Below are 18,683 nucleotides of genomic sequence, written 5' to 3' on the forward strand. Positions count from 1 at the left end.
TCTCTTTTATCTATTTTATTTTATTTTTTGAGACAGAGTCTCACTCTGTCACCTACGCTAGAGTGTCACCTAGGCGGGATTATCAGCTCACTGAAACCTCTGCCTCCCGGGTTCAAGCAATTCTCCTGCCTCAGCTTCCCAAGTAGCTGGGATACAGGCACCTGCCACCACAACCGGCTAATTTTTTTTATCTTTAGTAGACACAGGGTTTCGCCATGTTGACCAGGCCAGTCTTAAACTCCTGAACTCAGGTGATCCACCTGCCTCAGCCTCTCAAAGTGCTGGGATTGCAGGCATGAGCCACCGCGCCCAGACAACTCCATTCTCTTTAGGGCAAGAAGACTGGTTCGGCTTCAGAACTTCCACAAATGATTGCCAGCTCACCTATTTGCTTATCACCCCTCTACCCTGGAAGAGCAGGACACTTGGCCTCCTTAGAGAGTGTGATCTCAGCCTGCCAGCTGTGTAATCCGGACCAAAATCCAGGATGAAAAGAAACAGCCCAAAGGAAGAGCCTCTAATACAGTGTTTCCCAAACATCTTCTGTGAAACACCATTTCTGCTGGATGTTAATAGGTTTTCACCAGCAAAAGTCTTATGATTAACCAAATGCAGAGTTGCATGTCCAAATGTCTGAAAAGCAAAGCCTCATAGGCACCAGCCTGTTTCACCTGGATGAAACCAGCCTTTCCCCACAGTATTTGACACAGGAATATTTATGGAGGGGCTTTTACCAGACACACAAATAAAATGCAAGTCTCCATTTGTTACCCAATGCTGTTGGGAAAAAAAATCATCCCTTATGATCCTGACTGTCTGAAACACTCCACTTAGCAAGTGTCTCAGAATTGTGCGAAGGACTGGGTGGAACTTGCACCTTTTCCCTTCTGATGAAGACGGCCGTGTAACTTGTTCCCCTTTTTGCTCAAGGAAACTCTGAGTCAAAGCTGATCTTCAGTCACAGCACAGTTCTCTGTCTCTGCAATTAGTGTACTTGCTTCCTTCCCCTTTCCATACTCTTACTGTTTTGATTTTATTTAACCTTCCTTTACTATGACCTTTGGTAAATCACTTCGAAAATGTTTTAAGGGATTGGGTGTGGTAGCTCACACCTGTAAACCCAACACTTTGGGAGGCCAAGGCGGGAGGATCACTTGAGGCCAGGAGTTCAAGACCAGCCTAGGCAACAAAGTGAGCCGCCATCTCTACAAAAAATTAAAAAAATAAGTCAGGCCTGGTGGGCCACACCTATAGTCTCAGCTACTGAGAAGGCTGAGGTGAGAGGATTGCTTGAGTCCAGTAGACAGAGACTGCAGTGAGCTATGACTGTACCACTGCACTCCAACTTGGGAAACAAAGCAAGACCCCATCTCTTAAACAAAAAGTTTTAGGCCAGACAGGATGGTTCAAGCCTGTAATCCTAGTGCTTTGGGAGGCTGAGACAGGAGGATCACTTGAGGCCAGAAGTTCTGAGACCAGCCTGGGCAACATAGCCACACCCCTATCTCTACAAAAATAATTTTTAAAAAAGATGTTTTAGAAATAATCATAGTCTAAGTGTATTTCAAGGGGAAAATATGGTTAAGAAAACCTGTGACATTATGACAGTTAGTGTTGACCTATGGTGATGTAATATCTATGTCACCTGGTGTCAACAATACAGAGTCTAATCCCACATTGGGACAGGATCCCCAGACCTCAAAACATTGTTATATGGGCTTCCATTAAAAATATATATATTTGGCTTTAAAAAATAATCACTACTGCATTCCTTGTGTCCCGATGAAGCATTTGATGTCAAAAAGGAAAACCTCAGGGAAACAATTCATTTTATATTTCCATTTCATGGGAGAATGCAGACTACATTTAACTAAGAGAATAGGTTAGATAGGTTGTATTTCAAAATGCAAATTTGTCAGCAGGAAGCATGAATATTTCCTAGGGCGTCCTTTAAAACACGTTACCACACAGTATGCACTTTGTGCTGTTCTTAGGAAATACCTGTAGCTGGTCTTTTTAAGTGACAGTGGCACTGTCCTGGCTAATAGGGGAAGGGAAGCGAGGCATGAAGAGGAGAACTTGGGAGCTGAGGCCTTCATGGCAAACAGCCACAGTCCTTTCCCTTAGAAGATGGACTGAGTTACAAAGAAACCACTTTCCACAGGACAACTTAGATCATATGTGATATGGGAAAAAAAACAACGTAAACACTTGGTAATAAGACACTGGTTAAATAAATTATGATGGAATACTACAAAACTGATAAAATTGAAGTATAAAAAAATTAATAGTTTGTTTCATAACAATGTTTCAGTCAAGGATTGTTTCAATGCAGTTTAAACACTTGTGAATTTTGAATAATACATTTTAAATCTTTTGATTTTTTGGCCAATATTTGCCATCTTCAGTCGGAAGTGTTGAAACAAAAGAAATTAAAATGTATTATTCTGAATTTAAAAAAACTGAATAAGGGCAAAATAAGTCTGAATAATTTATCTTTCAAATGATCCCATTTTGTAAACTCATAACATTGATACTTCTCATATTATTAAAACCTTAAGCAGCATTAGGACTCTTGGGACATTCTGTCTTATTTATTGAAGGGTGGGTTACTCACAGTTGTACAGGACATTTCTGATTCTGTAAAGTGTAGTATATGTGTTCGTATATTCATAGAAAAAAGTCTGTAGAATTATAAACAAGCAGATTTACAAAGCTGTTTTTTTTGTTGTGGAATTGTTGCTTTCTTTCTTTTTTCTTTTTTGTGTTTTCCACATTTTCTACAGTCAATACACATGGAATTCATAATACAGAAGGAAAAACCATTCACATTTCCTCAGGATAGTAGATCTAGGGGAACTGATATGGTTTTTGTCTGTGTCCCCACCCAGATTTCATGTCAAATTGTAATTTCCAATGTTGGAGGTGGGGTCTGGTGGGAGGTAATTGGATAATGAGGGCAAGAGCTGGTGGTTTAAAAGTGAGTAGCATCTGCCCTACTTCCTCTTGCTCCAGCCATGTAAGCATGCCTACCTCCCCTTCACCTTCCAAAGTGATTTTAAGTTTTCTGAGGCCTTCCCAGCTGTGCTTCCTGGACAGCCTAAACCTCTTGTCTTTACAAATTACCCAGTTTCAGATATTTCTTTATAGCAGTGTGAGAATGGGCTAATACATAAAATTGGTACCTAGGAGTGGGGCATTGCTATATAGATACCTGACAGTGTGGAAGCAGCTTTGGAACTGGGCAACATCTAGAGGTTGGAAGACTGTGAAGGACTCAGCAAAAGACAGGAAAATGAGGAACAGTTTGGAACTTTCTAGAGACTTGTTAAATTGTTGTGACCAAAATGTTGGTAGTGATGTGGACAATGAAGTTCAGACTGAGGAGGTCTCAGATGAAAATGAGAAATTTATTGGGAACTGGAATAAAGGTCACTCTTGCTATGCTTTAGCAAAGAGACTGGTGGCATTGTGCCCCTGCTCTAGGGATCTGTGGAACTTTGAACTTGAGAGAGATGATTTAGGGTATCCAGTGGAAGAAATTTCTAAGCAGCAAAGCATTCAAGAAGTGACCTGACTGCTTCTTAGAAGCTAACTCATGTGCATGAGCAAAGAAATGATCTGAAACTGGAACTTATATTTAAAAGGGAAGCAGAACATAAATGTTTGGACAATTTGCAGCCTGGACATGTGGTAGAAAAAAAAGGCCATTTTAGGGGAGGAATTCAAGCAGGCTGCAGACATTTGAATAAGTAAAGAGGAGCCAAATGCTGATAGCCAAGACAATGGGAAAAAGGCCTCCAAGGCATTTCAGAGACCTTCACAGTAGCCCCTTTCATCATAGGCCCAGAGGCCTAGGAGGGAAGAATGATTTCCTGAGCCAAGCCCAGGGCCCTGCTGCCCTGCAGAGCCTTGGGGCACTGCTCCCTGCATCCCAGACACTTCAGCTCCAGCAGTGGCTCAAAGGGGCCCAGGTACTTGGACTGCAGCTTCAGAGGGTGCAAGCTTTGGTGGCTCCACATGATGTTAAGCCTGCAGGTGCCCAGAGTGCAAGAGTTGAGGCTTGGGAGCCTCCTCCTTGATTTCAGAGGATGTATGAAAATGCCTGGATATCCAGGCAGAAGCCTGCTATGGGGCGAAGCCTTCATGGAGAACCTCTACTAGGGCAGTCCAGAGGGTAAATGTGGGGTTGGAGCTTCCACACAGTCTCCACTGGGACACTGCCTAGTGGAGCTGTGAGAAGAGAGGGCCACTGTCCTCCAGAACCCCAGAATAGTAGATACACTGCCAGCACCATACTCCTGGAAAAGCCACAGGCACTCAGTGCCAGCCCTTGAGAGCAGCCATGGGGGCTGAGCCCTACAGGGCCATGGAGATGGAGTTGCCCAAGGCCTTCAGAGTCCACCCCTTGCATCAGTGCAGCCTGGATGTGAGACATGGAGTCAAAGGAGTTTATTTTGAAGCTTTAAGATTTAATGACAGCTCTGCTGGGTTTTCAACTTGACTTGCATGGGGCCTATAGCCCCTTTGTTTTGGCCAATTTCTCCTTTTTGGAATGGAAGCATTTACCCAATGCCTATATCTTAGAAGTAACTAACTTGTTTTTGATTTCACAGGCTCATAGGTAAAGGGGCTAGCCTTATCTCAGATGAGACTTTGGACTTTGAACTTTTGACTTAATGCTAAAATGACTTTTGAGTTATGAATTTGGGGGACTGTTGGGAAGGCATAATTCTATTTTGAAATGTGAGAAGGACATGATATTTGGGAAGGGCCAGGGTGGAATGATATGGTTTGGGTCTGTGTCTCCATCCAAATCTCATGTGAAATTGTAATCCCCAGTGTTGGAGGTGGAGCCTGGTGGAAGGTGACTGGCACATGGGGGCAGGTTTCTCCTTTGGTGCTGTTCTCCTGATGGTGAGTGAGTTATTGCAAGATATGGTTGTTTAAAAGAGTGTAACACCTCCCCAACACCCTTCCTCTTGCTCTGACCATGTAAGAAAATGCCTGCTTCCCCTTCACCTTCTGCCACAATTGTAAGTTTCCTGAGGCCTCCCCAGCCATGCTTCCCATACAGCCTGCAGAACTGGAGCCAATTAAACCTCTTTTCTTTATTAATTACCCAGTTCCAGGCACTTCTTTATAGCAGTGTGAGAATGGACTAATGTAGGACATTTCTGGTTGCCTGCCTTTTCTCCTTCCAAACTGAACTGATTTGATTCAGGTATGTGACCCCAGGCAGCCCATGGCTACAGAAGAAGCTGCTCCCAGTCACCTCTGGCTTGGTTTGGATGGGTGAGGTTGTCCCGTTTCTGCAGGTGGGTGATCAGAAATGGGCACAGGAACAACTCTGGGCAATGGAACTTCAGACAAGTTTATGAAACTTATGAGAAAAATGTCCTAATTTTTGAGCAACAGCTGTAGAAAGATGATATGGTTTGTCTCTGTGACCCCCACCCCCCAATCTCATCTTGAATTGTAATACCCATGTGTCAAGGAAGGGACCTGGTAGGAGGTGATTGGATCATGGAGGGCAGTTTCCCCCATGCTGTTCTTGTGATGATGAGTTCTCATGAAATCTGATGGTTTAAAAGTGGCACTTTCCCCTTAGCTCTTTCTCTCTCCTGCCACCTTGTGAAGAAAGTGCTTGCTTTCCTTCACCTTCTGCCATTATTGTAAGTTTCCTGAGCCATGCGGAACTGTGAGTCAGTTAAACTTCTTTTATTTATAAATTATCCAGTTTCAAGTATGTTTTTATAGCAGTGTGAAAACAGACTAATACAGAAAATTGGTACCAAGGTAGTGGGTCATTTCTATAAGACACCTGAGAATGTAGAAGCAACTCAGTAACTGGCAGAGCTTAGAACCATTTGGAGGGCTCAGAATAAGACAGGAAGATGAGGAAAAGTTTGAAACTTTCTAGAGACTTCTTGAATGGTTTTGACCAAAATGCTGATAGTGATATGGACAATGAAGTCCAGGCTGAGGTGGTCTCAGATGGAGATAAGGAACTTCTTGGGAACTGAAGTAAAAGTTACTCTTGCTATGCTTTATCAAAGAGACTGGTGGTGTTGTGCCCCTGCCCTAGAGATCTGTGGAACTTTGAACTTGAGAGAGATGACCTAGGGTATCTGGTGGAAGAAATTTCTAAGCTGCAAAGCGTTCACGATGTAACTTGGCTCTTTCTGAAAGCATATAGTCATATGCATTCACAAAGAGATGATCTGAAATTGAAACTTAAAAAGAAAAGCAGAGCATAAACGTTTGGAAAATTTGCAGCTTAAGCATGCGGTAGAAAATTTCTGGGAAGAAATTCAAGCCAGCTGCAGAAATTTGCATAAGTAATGAGGAGACAAATGTTAATCTCCAAGACAATGACAATGGGGGATATGTGTCCAGGGCATTTTGGAGATCTTCACAGCGGCTCCCCTAATCACAGGCCTGGAGGTCTAGGAGTGAAAAATGGTTTCATGGGTCAGGCCCATGACCCCACTGTTCTGTGCAGCCTGGTGACATGATGCCCTGCCTCCCAGCCACTGTAGCTCCAGTCGTGGCTTAAAGGGGCCAATGTACAGCTCAGGCCATTGTTTCAGAAGGTGCAAGACCCAAGCCTTGGTGGCTTCCACATGTTGGGCCTTTGGGTGTGCAGAAGACAAGAGTTGAACTTTGGGAGCCTCTGCCTAGATTTCAAAGGATGTATGGAAACACCTGGATGTCCAGGCAGAAGTCTGCTGCAGGGACAGAGCCCTCGTGGAGAACCTTTACCAGGGCAATGCAGAGGCAGAAATGTGGGTTTGGAGCCCCCACACAGAGACCCCACTGGGGCACTGCCTAGCATAGCTGTGAGAAGAAGGCCACCATCCTCCAGACCACAGAATGTTAGGTACACTGGCAGCTTGCACTCTGTGCTTGGAAAAGTCACAGGCATTCAACACCAGCCCATGAAAGCAGCCATAGGGGATTTACCCTGCAGAGCCACAGAGGCAGAGCTGCCTCAGGCCATGGGAGCCTACCCCTTGCATCAGTGTGTCCTGGATGTGAGATATAGATATGTTTTTGAGCTTTAAGAACTAATGACTGCACAGCCAGGCTTTGAACTTGCATAGAGCCTGTGGCCTCTTTGTTTTGGTCAATTTCTCCCATTTGGAGCAGGAACATTTACCCAATGCCTGTACCCTCATTGTATCTTAAAAGTAACTAACTTGTTTTCTATTTTACAGGCTCATAGGCAGAAGGGACTTGTCTTGTCTCACATGAGACTTTGGACTTGGACTTTTATGTTAATGCTGGAATGAGTTAAGACTTTGGGGGACTGTTGGGAAGGCATGATTGTGTTTTGAAATGTGAGAAGGACATAAGATTTGGGAGGGACCAGGGATGAAATGAAATGGTTTGGTTCTGTGACCCCACTCAAATCTTATCTCGAATTGTAATTCCCATGTGTCGAGAAAGGGACCCGGTGGGAGGAGATTGGATCATGGGGGCAGTTTTCCCCATGCTGTTCTCATGATAGTGACTGAGTTCTCATGAGAACTGATGGTTTAAGAGTGACACTCCCCCTTCACTCTCTTCCTCCTGCCATCTTGTGAAGAAAGTGCTTGCATCTCCTTTACCTTCTGCCATGATTGTAAGTTTCTTGAGTCATGAGGAACAGTGAGTCAATTAAACTTCTTTTATTTATAAATGACCCAGGCTCAGGCATGTCTTTATAATAGTGTGAAAATGAACTAATACAGAAGACATGGCCACTTTCTGTTCCTCTGAAGTCTTTGTGGAGGGTGGAGAGGTCTAGACCCTGCTGCTGCTGTGGGATAAATCCAGCACATAGGGTGGTCCCCAAGAGGATCTCAGGAAGCTGGTCCAGAGCCTCAGGATTACATGGCGCTGGCCATTCAGGCCCAAGACCCACCACACGCACTTCAGGTTTAAGTTAGCTTGAATTGTGATATCTGTTTCTTCTTTCCTAAAGGCATCTCAATAGATATTGGCTCCTTCCAAAATCCTTGCTGCTATTGGCTGCTGGACAAAGCTTTCCTTTTTCAATCCAATCTGTTACCTCTAGTGAGTGACTGAAGCTCACTGATTTGAGGCCAGTAAGCAGATGGCAGCTCCCAATTTTCCTTCCTGGAAAATGTATTCATTACCCTGGAGCTAAAGGTTTTCCAAGTGTTTTCATTTCTGGAGAAGGTATTTACTTTTAATGCACTGAGGGGAAGAAGTAAGAAGGCCCAGAATCGCCTTCCTCAAGTGAAATGGCACTCTCTGAGATTTTTTTTTCTTTACTAAAACCAGGTAGTCTGATTTCATCCATCAGGGGCCCTAAATAAAATTCTGAGGAAGCTGAGTGTTGGTATGTGTGCTGGGGATCAGGAAGTACAAATGCCTGTTTCCCCAGAGGCCAGCCAGGAAAGCACTGGGGTGAGGATCAGCAATGTGGATGTGTGGGGACGGTGGCATGCCGGAAGGGTGCCCGATCTCCAGGAGGCAGCTCTCCTCCCTGATTGCAGCTCAGGGCTCCACATAATGTGTGTGCCCGGCCTGCTGCTCTGGGTTGCCCTGGCCTGCTCTGATGGGGACACTCCACCCTAGACGTGTTCCAAAGAGTGAAGGGCACAGCTAACCAGTCCCTTCCTTCCTTCAACCTGAACGATGTGTTAATAATGCAACCTGAACTTATCTCTTGTTGGGTCAGTCAAAATCCCCAAGTCTTTTTCCCTCCAGCTCCCTTCAAGCTGGCCTCTCCGATCCTTTCTGCAAACAAGTGGAGAAAAAAAAAATTGCCCCTATAATCTTTAGATATATGTAGACCTATTTCATAGTAGAATTATTTACTAATTATACAAATGATCAATTATGTTTATGTATATATTTTATTGTTTTGGATTTGTTCTAGATAAATGTTCAAGGAGACCATGTGGTTAACAGTGTCAATGCTTTGTAACTCTCACTATAGATACAATTATGAGGATTTTGTTTGCTTGTTGAATCTTAAATGCAGGATTTGTTGAATTCCATTTTGTTAGCTTGGGAATCCTAATTTATACAAAAGTTCCTGCCTTTGAGCCAGTCATCCAACAGTTATTACTTTTTGCATGTTTGAGAAATAAATATGTTCTTTTGTTTTTGAGGTAGACCCCAAAACAAGACTGCATGATACAGGAGAGGATAAAGGACAGAGCCCCGTGACACACCGGCAGAGGCCCCTTACTTACTGTTTGGTTGATAAAAATCCAGCCAATGGGCTGATCATCAAGTCCACATCAACCAACCTGTCTAAAAGTAGCAAGTAAGAGATGTTATCTAATACCTGGCTGAGGGGACAAGACACACTTGGCCAGTCCTGGAACCCAGCCATAAAGTGAGGAGATTGGCGAGAGTCCAGGCAAGGGTGCCAGTAGCTCAATGATCTGTCACAATGTGCTGTCACAAGCTGACAGTGTAGAAGGAAGGTGTTCTTACCTAAGGGGATCTCCTAAACACCCAGGATATAAAGACAATTTCCTAGATTTTCTTTTTGGACTGATATTTAAAACATATATATATATTTCAGTTTTAATTCATCAGGAGCCTATTTTTGTATATGGTGTAGTTAGGAGATCCATGTTTTATCCCCTTAGTTAATGTGTGATTGTGCTAGCGCCTTCCATTACTAATAGTTTATCATTTATTTATTTTTAACTTTTACTTTAGGTTCAGGGGTACACGTGCAGTTTGTTATATAGGCAAATTGTATATCATGAGGGTAACCAATAGTTTAAATCATATCTTTAGTATTTTAAAATATTTCTACCTATATTTATAAGATATATTGATTTATCCTTTTTATCATTTTATTGTTATAAAACTTTACATTAAAGTGACATTAGCTTTGTAAAATAAATTAAGGATACTGTCACATTTCCATCATTTGGAATAAATCAAATGACATTGGAATTAACTGAGAGCTGGGACTTGGTTATGAAACCATCTGATCCCAGGGGCCCTTTTCAATGGTATAAATGATCTTTTCAGATTCATCTGTGGTAATTGGTGTATTCAAGGTTTCTACTTCTTGGTTTAATTCTGGTAATAGGTATTTGCAAGGAAACTATCTGTTTCTGAGTATGTTGCAGTAGAGTTATGAGTGTTAGTTTTTTTTGTTTGTTAGTTTGTTTTTTGAGACGGAGTCTTGCTCTGTCACCCAGGCCGGAGTGCAATGGCATGATTGACTCACTGCAACCTCCACCCCCGGGTTCAAACAACTCTCCTGACTTAGCCTCCCGAGTAGCTGGGATTACAGGCATGTGCTACCATGTTCAGCTAATTTTTGTCTTTTTAGCAGAGGCAGGATTTCACCATGTTGGCCAGACTGGTCTCAAACTCCTGACCTCAGGTTATCCACCTGCCTCAGCCAAAGTGCTGGGATTACAGACATGAGCCACTGTGTCCAGCCATGAACGTTAATCTTTTGCAATAGTCTTACCTCTCTCTGTGTCTGGAATTATCCGACTTTCTCATTCTACTCATGCAGACTTTTACTGTTTCTTTTTCCCTTTATCAGTCTCTTAAGAAGTTTATATCGTTGGTCTTTTCAATGAAATGCTTTTGGATTTGTTTATCCTTTCTACTATGTTTTGGTTTTCATTTTATTAGTTTCAGCCTTGATCTTTATTGACTTCCTCTCCCAACTCTTTGTGGTTTAGTTTGTCTTTACTCATTTTTCAAAATGAGAACTGTTAGGGGTTGAATCGTGTCCTCCCAAAAGGATATGTTGGAACCCTAACCACCGGGGCCACAGAATGTGACTTCATTTGGAAATAGGGCTATTGCAGATGTAATTAGTTAAGATGAGGTCATACTAGTGTAGGATGGTGCCTTTAATCCAATGTGATGGGTGTTCTTAGACAAACACAGCTCTGTGAAGACACAGAGAGACAGGGAGAATGCTGCAGAATGGAGGCAGAACTTAGAATATTCATGCTACCATGTGCCAAGGAATGCTTGGTCTATCAGAAGCTGGGAGAGGCAAGGATCTTTCCCTGGAAGCTTTGAGGGAGCATGGCCTGGCTACCACCTTGATTTCAGTCTCTCAGCCTCCAGAACTGTGAAGCAATACATTCTGTTGTTTGAAGCCACCCAGTTTGTGGTACTTGTTGTGGCAACCAATAAGCTAATAAAATTACTAAATTCCTTTATTTTTTCAGTTTTTTATGTCAATAATGAATGTGTTTAAATTTTCTTTTGAGTATGCTTGGCTTTTAGGGAGAATTGTTGATCTTTTCACTTTCCATATGAATTATAATTTTAGTTTGATTTTGTTTGGTCCAAAGTTTATCTAGCTCTTTGTTTCATAATTGCCATGTAAAGAAATTAATTTATCCTTTTATTATTGATTTATTTTATTAAATTATTATTAGAATACATGACTTGTCAAGTTCCTAAGTTTTAAATTTTTTAAGCTTTTCTTTGTGCCTAAAAAATCATCAATTTTTTTTCAGTGTTATATGGGCAAATGGAAAAATGCATGTTCTCTTTTGAGGAATGTAATGTTCCAGTACATCTACTGACTGATTTTCTTGATCATTGATCAGTTTATTATATTTTTCTATATTGCTACTGGTGTTAACATGGTTCAATTTTGTAAGTGGCATTTTAGGATTTCCCTCTACGGCAGTATTTTAATTAATTTTTAAAATTCTAAATTAAACTTTTAATTTTGATTTAATTATGCATACACACACAGTCGTAAGAAAAAATATTGCAGCGTGATATCACCAGAAACAGTGGAATAGGGACTTCCAGGCTCTATCCTACCACAAAAACAACTAATAAGCTGGCAAAAACTGTCAGATTCAACTTTTGCAGAACTCTGGAATCTAGTTCAAAACCTGCATTAACCAGAGAAAAGCTTAATAAAGAAAGACATTGCTTCATTGCTATTAGAAGGCATGGTGGCTCTCTTTAAATTGCCCACCTATCATCTCTCAGTACCAGATCAGAGGCCACTGTGCGTGAAGATGGCAGTCTGCACTTCCAGTACAGGTTGCTAGTGTTAGAGGGAGCAATTCAGAGCTTATTCTTAAGAGCTGTGGTTGTGTGCTTTGACCTGTTTGGCAGCTCCCTGAAGGGCTGGTGTAGAGGCTTGTCTTTATTTCACTCAGCTTTGAGCATTCCCAGTGTTGGGTGCCATCTTGGGCAGCATTTGCCAAAAGCACTTAAATTCAAAAGTATTGACTGCTGCAGCCTGGGGCAAGGATAGCAGTTGGAACAGACAGCCTGGGAAAAAGAGTTTGGGAATGAAGATTTGTGGGAGAAAAAGAACTTTTAACATGTGCTGTATACACTGGGAAACCAAGAAGGCCACATGCAAGCCAGGGCTAACCTCATGCTCAGAAAAAGCCTGAGCAGACGCTAAGCTTTTACCTCTGGTTCACCTTCAGGCTTCATGCAAGCAAGAAAGGAAGGCTAAGGAAGAGTTGTAAAAGGCCTGGCCAAGTGTTAAACTATGTCCTCAACACAGAATTAATCTGTAAAGACTGGGAGTTTTTTTTTTCTTTTTAATTGTTCTTTTTAGGGACTTCAGGAATTTAAGGAAACTCTGTCAAAACACTAATTGACCAGTAAGCTAACAGAACCCAGACATAAGTGGCCACACACCATGGGGAATATAGACTGTACAAAAATTGTTTAGAAGCCACTAAACTAACAAAAAACAATGGCCAAAACAAGAAACATCAAATCCTAGGGAGTAGGGAGAATCTGATTTCCAGAGTTGCCAAGTAATAATCCCACTAGTTTCAACAAAAAATTACAAGACATGCCAAGAAAAAGAAAGAAAGAGAAAAAGAAATAAAGAAAGAGAAAAAGAAAAAAAAAGAAGGTATGGTCCATTAAAAAGAGTAATAGAAATTAATACAAACTGTCCTTGAGGAAGCCCAGGTATTGGAGTTACCAGAGAACGATCCCAAATCAGGTCTGTCAAATGTGGCAAAAAGCTAAAGGAAGTCATAGATAAGAATGAAAGGAAACCAGGAACATAAAGTATAAACATATGGAGAATGTAAATAAGAGATAGAAACTATAAATAGGAACCACATAAAATTCTGGTATTGAAAAATATAATAATTGAAATGAGTATTAACTATAGAGGTTCAAGGGGAGATTTGAGCAGAAGAAAAGACAAGCAAATTTAGGCCCTGCATGGTGGCTCATGCCTGTAATCCCAGCACTTTGGGAGGCCAAGGGGAGAGGATTGCTTGAGCCCAAGAGTTGAAGACCAACCTGGGCAACATAGCAAGGCACTGTCTCTAAAAATAATAATAATAATAATAAATTAAAATTAAAAAATTAGAAAAGATAAGCAAACTTAAAGATATGTCAATTAAGATAATTAAGTCTGAGGAGCAGAAATGTAAAAGCATGGCCCAAGAGACCTGTGGGAATTTATAAAGTATACCAATATATGCATAATGAGACTCTTAGAAGGAAAGGAGAGAGGGAAATGAACAAAAAGTTTATTTTTTAAAATAACGGCCCACAACTCTCCAAATTTGATGAAAGATGTGAATTTACACATCCAACGTGGTCAATGAACTCCATAGGATAAAATTAAAGCGACACAAATTGAGTCACATTATAATCAAACTGTCTTAAGACTAAGACAACAAAAGAACCTTGAAAGCAGCAAGAGAGACATGACTTATCATGTACAAGGGAGCCTCAATGAAATTAATAGTCAGTATCGCTTCAGAAACCATGGAGGCCAGAAAACAGTAAGCAGTAGGATAACATATTTAAAGTGCTGGAAGCCCGTCAAACAAATATTCTATATCCAGCAAAACTATTCTTCAAAAGTAGAGGAGAAATTAGATATTGCAAGATAGCAAAAACTGAGGTAGTTCATCACTAGTTGATCTGTCCTTAAGAAATGTGAATCTTTCTCAAAATCTTCCAAAACTAGAAGATTGAGAAGCACTTCCTAACACACTCTGTGTGGCCACCATTACTCTAATACCAAGGCCATATAAAGATATGACAAGAAAGAAAACTATAGCTCTATCTTCCTCATAAATACAGACACAAAAATCCTCAACAAGATACCAGCAAATTAATTCCAGCATCATATTAAGAAAATTATATATTATGACCAAGTGGTATTTATCCCAGGAATGCTAAGGTGGTTCAACATACAAAATTTACTCAATGTAATAAATGACATTAATAGAATGAAAAGGAAAAAAAAAACACATGATCATCTCAATTGACGCAGAAAAAGAATTTGACAAATTCCAATACCTTTTTGTGATTAAAATACACTCAACAAACTAGGAATAGAAGGGAAATATTTCAACATCATAAAAGGCATTTATGAAAAACCCACAGGTAACCTTTTACTCAATAGTGAAAGATTGAAATAGTTTCCCTTAAAATTATAAATATGACAAGAATGCCCACTTTTGCCACTTCTACTCAACATCCTGCTGGAAGTTCTAGCCAGAGCGATTAAACAAAATAACATTTAAAAACATAAATAAAAATAGGCTGGAAGGTGGATGGCAAGATGGCCAAATAGAAACAGCTCCGGTGTGCAGCTCCCAGCGAGATCAATGCAGAGGCATTTCCAACTGAGGTACCTGGCTCATCTCATTAGGACTGGTTAGACAGTGGGTGCAACCCATGGAGGGCGAGCTGAAGCAGGGTGGGGTGTCACCTCACCTGGGAAGTGCAAGGGGTCAGGGAACTCCCTCCCCTAGCCAAGGGAGGGTGTGAGGGACTGTGCTGTGAGGAATGGTGCACTCCAGCCCAGACACTAAGCTTTTCCCATGGTCTTCACAACCCACAGACCAGGAGATTCCTTGGGTGCCTGCACCACCAGGGCCCTGGATTTCAAGCACAAAACTGAGCAGTCATTTGGGCAGACACCGAGCTAGGTGCAGGAGTTCTTTTTCATACCCCAGTGGTGCCTGGAACGCCAGTGAGCGAGAACAGTTCACTCCCCTGGAAAGGAGGCTGAAGCCAGGGAGCCAGGTAGTCTAGCTCAGCAGATTCCAGCCCCAGGGAGCCCAGCAAGCTAAGATTCACTGGCTTGAAATTCTTGCTGCCAGCACAGCAGTCTGAAGTTGACCTGGGATGCTGGAGCTTGGTGGGGGGAGGGGCATCCATTATTACTGAGGCTTGGGTAGGCAGTTTTCCCCTCACAGTGTAAACAATGCCGCAGGGAAGTTCAAACTGGGCGGAGCCCACCACAGAGAGCTGTAGCCAGACTGCCTCTCTAGATTTCTCCTCTCTGGGCAGGGCATCTCTGAAAGAAAAAGCAGCAGCCCCAGTCAGGGGTTTAGAGATAAAACTCCCATCTCCCTGGGACAGAGCACCTGAGGGAAGGGGTGACTGTGGGCACAGCTTCAGCAGACTTAAATGTTCCTGCCTGCCAGCTCTGAAGAGAGCAGCTAATCTTCCAGCACAGCACTTGAACTCTGCTAAGGGACAGACTGTCTCCTCAAGTGGGTCCCTGACCCCCATGTCTCCTGACTGGGAGACACCTCCCAGCAGGGGTCAAAAGACGCCTTATAAAGGAGAGCTCTGGCTGGCATCTGGTGAGTGCCCGTCTGGGACAAAACTTTTAGAGGAAGGAACAGGCAGCAATCTTTGCTGTTCTGTAGCCTCTGCTGGTGATACACAGACAAACAGGGTCTGGAGAGGACCTCCAACAAACTCCAGCAGACCTGCAGCAGAGGGACCTGTTAGAAAGAAAACTAACAAACAGAAACGAATAGCATCAGCATCAACAAAAACGACATCCACTCAAAAACCCCACCCAAATGTCACCATCATCAAAGACCAAAGATATATAAATCCACGAAGGTGAGGAAAAACCAGCACAAAAAGGCTAAACATTCCAAAAACCAGAAAATCTCGTCTCCTTCAAAGGATCACAACTGCTCGCCAGCCAGGGAACAAAACTGGATGGAGAATGAGTTTGACGAATTGATAGAATTAGGCTTCAGAAGGTGGGTAATAACAAACTCCTTTGAGCTAAAGAAGCATGTTCTAACCCAATGCAAGGAAGCTAAGAACCTTGAAAAAAGGTTAGAGGAATTGCTAACTAGAATAACCAATTTGGACAAGAACATAAATGACCTAATGGAGCTGAAAAACACAGCACAAGTACTTGGTGAAGCACATACAAGTATCAATAGTTGAATTGATCAAGTGGAAGAAAGGATATCAGAAATTGAAGATCAACTTAATGAAAGAAAGCATGAAGACAAGATTAGAGAAAAAAGAATAAAAAGGAACTAACAAAGCCTCCAAGAAATATGGGACTATGTGAAAAGACCAAACGTACCTTTGATTGGTATACCCTGAAAGTGACAGGGAGAATGGAACCAAGTTGGAAAGCACTTTTCAGGATAGTATCCAAGAGAACTTCCCCAGCCTAGCAAGACAGGCCAACATTCAAATTCAGGAAATACAGAGAACAACACAAAGATACTGCTCAAGAAGGGCAATCCCAAGACACATAATCGTCAGATTCACCAAGGTTGAAATGAAGGAAAAAATGTTAAGGGCAGCCAGAGAGAAAGGTTGGGTTACCCACAAAGGGAAGCCCATCAGACTAACAGTGGATTTCTGCAGAAACCCCATAAGCCAGAAGAGAGTGGAGGCCAATCTTAAACATTCTTAAGGAAAAGAATTTTCAACCCAGAATTTCATATCCAGCCAAACTAAGCTTCATAAGCAAAGGAGAAATAAAATCCTTTACAGACAAGCAAATGCTGAGAGATTTTGTCACCACCAGGCCTGCCTTACAAGAGCTCCTGAAGGAAGCACTAAATATGTAAAGGAAAAACCGGTTACCAGCCACTGCAGAAACATACCAAATTATAAAGACCATAGACACTATGAAGAAACTGCAGCAACTAATGGGCAAAATAACCAGTAGCATCATAATGATAGGACCGAATTCACACATAACAATATTAACCTTAAATGTAAATGGACTAAATGCCCCAATTAAAAGACACAGACTGGCAAATTGGATAAAGAGTCAAGACCCATCAGTGTGCTGTATTCAGGAGACCCATCTCAAAGACACACATCGGCTCAAAGTAAAGGGATGGGGGAATATTTACCAAGCAAATGGAAAGCAAAAAAAAGCAGGGGTTGCAATCCTAGTGTCTCATAAAACACACTTTAAACCAACAAAGATCAAAAAAGACAAAGAAGGCCATTACATAATGGTAAAGGGATCAATGCAACAAGAAGAGCTGACTATCCTAAATTTGCACCCAATACAGGAGCACCCAGATTCATAAATCAAGTTCTTAGAGACCTACAAAGAGACTTAGACTCCCACACAATAATAGTGGGAGACTTTTAACACCCCACTGTCAATATTAGACAAATCATCGAGATAGAAAATTAACAAGGATATTCAGGACTTGAACTCAGCTCTGGACCAAGCAGACCTAATAGACATTTACAGAACTCTCCAACCCAAATCAACAAAATATACATTCTTCTCAGCACCACATCACACTTATTCTAAAATTGATCACATAATTGGAAGTAAAATACTCCTCAGCAAATGCAAAATAATGGAAATCATAACAAACAGTCTCTCAGTCCACAGTACAATCAAATTAGAACTCGGAATTAAGAAACTCACTGAAAACTGCACAACTACATGGAAACTGAACAACCTGCTCCTGAATGACTGCTGGGTAAATACCGAAACTAAGGCAGAAATAAAGATGTTCTTTGAAACCAATGAGAACAAAGACACAAGGTACAAGAATCTCTGGGACACAGCTAAAGCAGTGTTTAGAGGAAAATTTATAGCACTAAATGCCCACAGGAAAAGCAGGAAAGATCTAAAACTGACACCCTAACATCACAATTAAAAGAACTAGAGAAGCCAGAGAAAACAAATTCAAAAGCTAGCAGAAGACAAGAAATAACTAAGATCAGAGCAGAACTGAAGGAGATAGGGACACGAAAAACCCTTCAAAAAATCAATAAATGCGGAAGCTGGTTTTTTGAAAAGATTAACAAAATAGATAGATCACTAGCTAGACTAATAAAGAAGAAAAGAGAGAAGAATCAAATAGACACAATAAAAAATGATGAAGCAGATATCACCACTGATCCCATGGAAATACAAACTACCAACAGAGAATACTATAAACACCTTTATGCAAATAAACTAGAAAATCTAGAAGAAATGGATAAATTCCTGGACACATACACCCTCCCAAGACTAAACCAGGAAGAAGTTGAATCCCTGAATAGACCAATAACAAGTTCTGAAATTGAGGCAGTAATTAATAGCTTACTAACCAAAATAAGTCCAGGACTAGATGGATTCACAGCCGAATTCTACCAGAGGTACAAAGAGGAGCTGGTACTGTTTCTTCTGAAACTATTCCAAACAATAGAAAAAGATGGACTCCTCCCTAACTCATTTTATGAGGCCAGCATCATCCTGATACCAAAACCTGGCAGACACAACAAAAAAAGAAAATTTCAGGCCAATATCCCTGATGAACATAGATGCGAAAATCCTCAATAAAATACTGGCAAACTGAATCCAGCAGCACATCAAAAAGCTTATCCACCATGATCAAGTTGGCTGCATCCCTGGGATGCAAGGCTAGTTCAACATATGCAAATCAATAAATGTAGTACATCACATAAACAGAACC

General features: G+C 41.5%; 1 annotated feature.

The window, feature by feature from the left end:
* Window positions 14,882-15,398: an enhancer, noted in NCBI's record as "NANOG-H3K27ac-H3K4me1 hESC enhancer chr2:102552199-102552715 (GRCh37/hg19 assembly coordinates)". NCBI's record gives its function as "activates a minimal SCP1, AML or CMV promoter by ChIP-STARR-seq in naive H9 embryonic stem cells {active_cell/tissue: H9 hESC(naive)}" and the evidence as "EXISTENCE:reporter gene assay evidence [ECO:0000049][PMID:30033119]".

Source organism: Homo sapiens, chromosome 2, assembly GCF_000001405.40.
Source record: "Homo sapiens chromosome 2, GRCh38.p14 Primary Assembly".
NCBI lineage: Eukaryota > Metazoa > Chordata > Mammalia > Primates > Hominidae > Homo > Homo sapiens.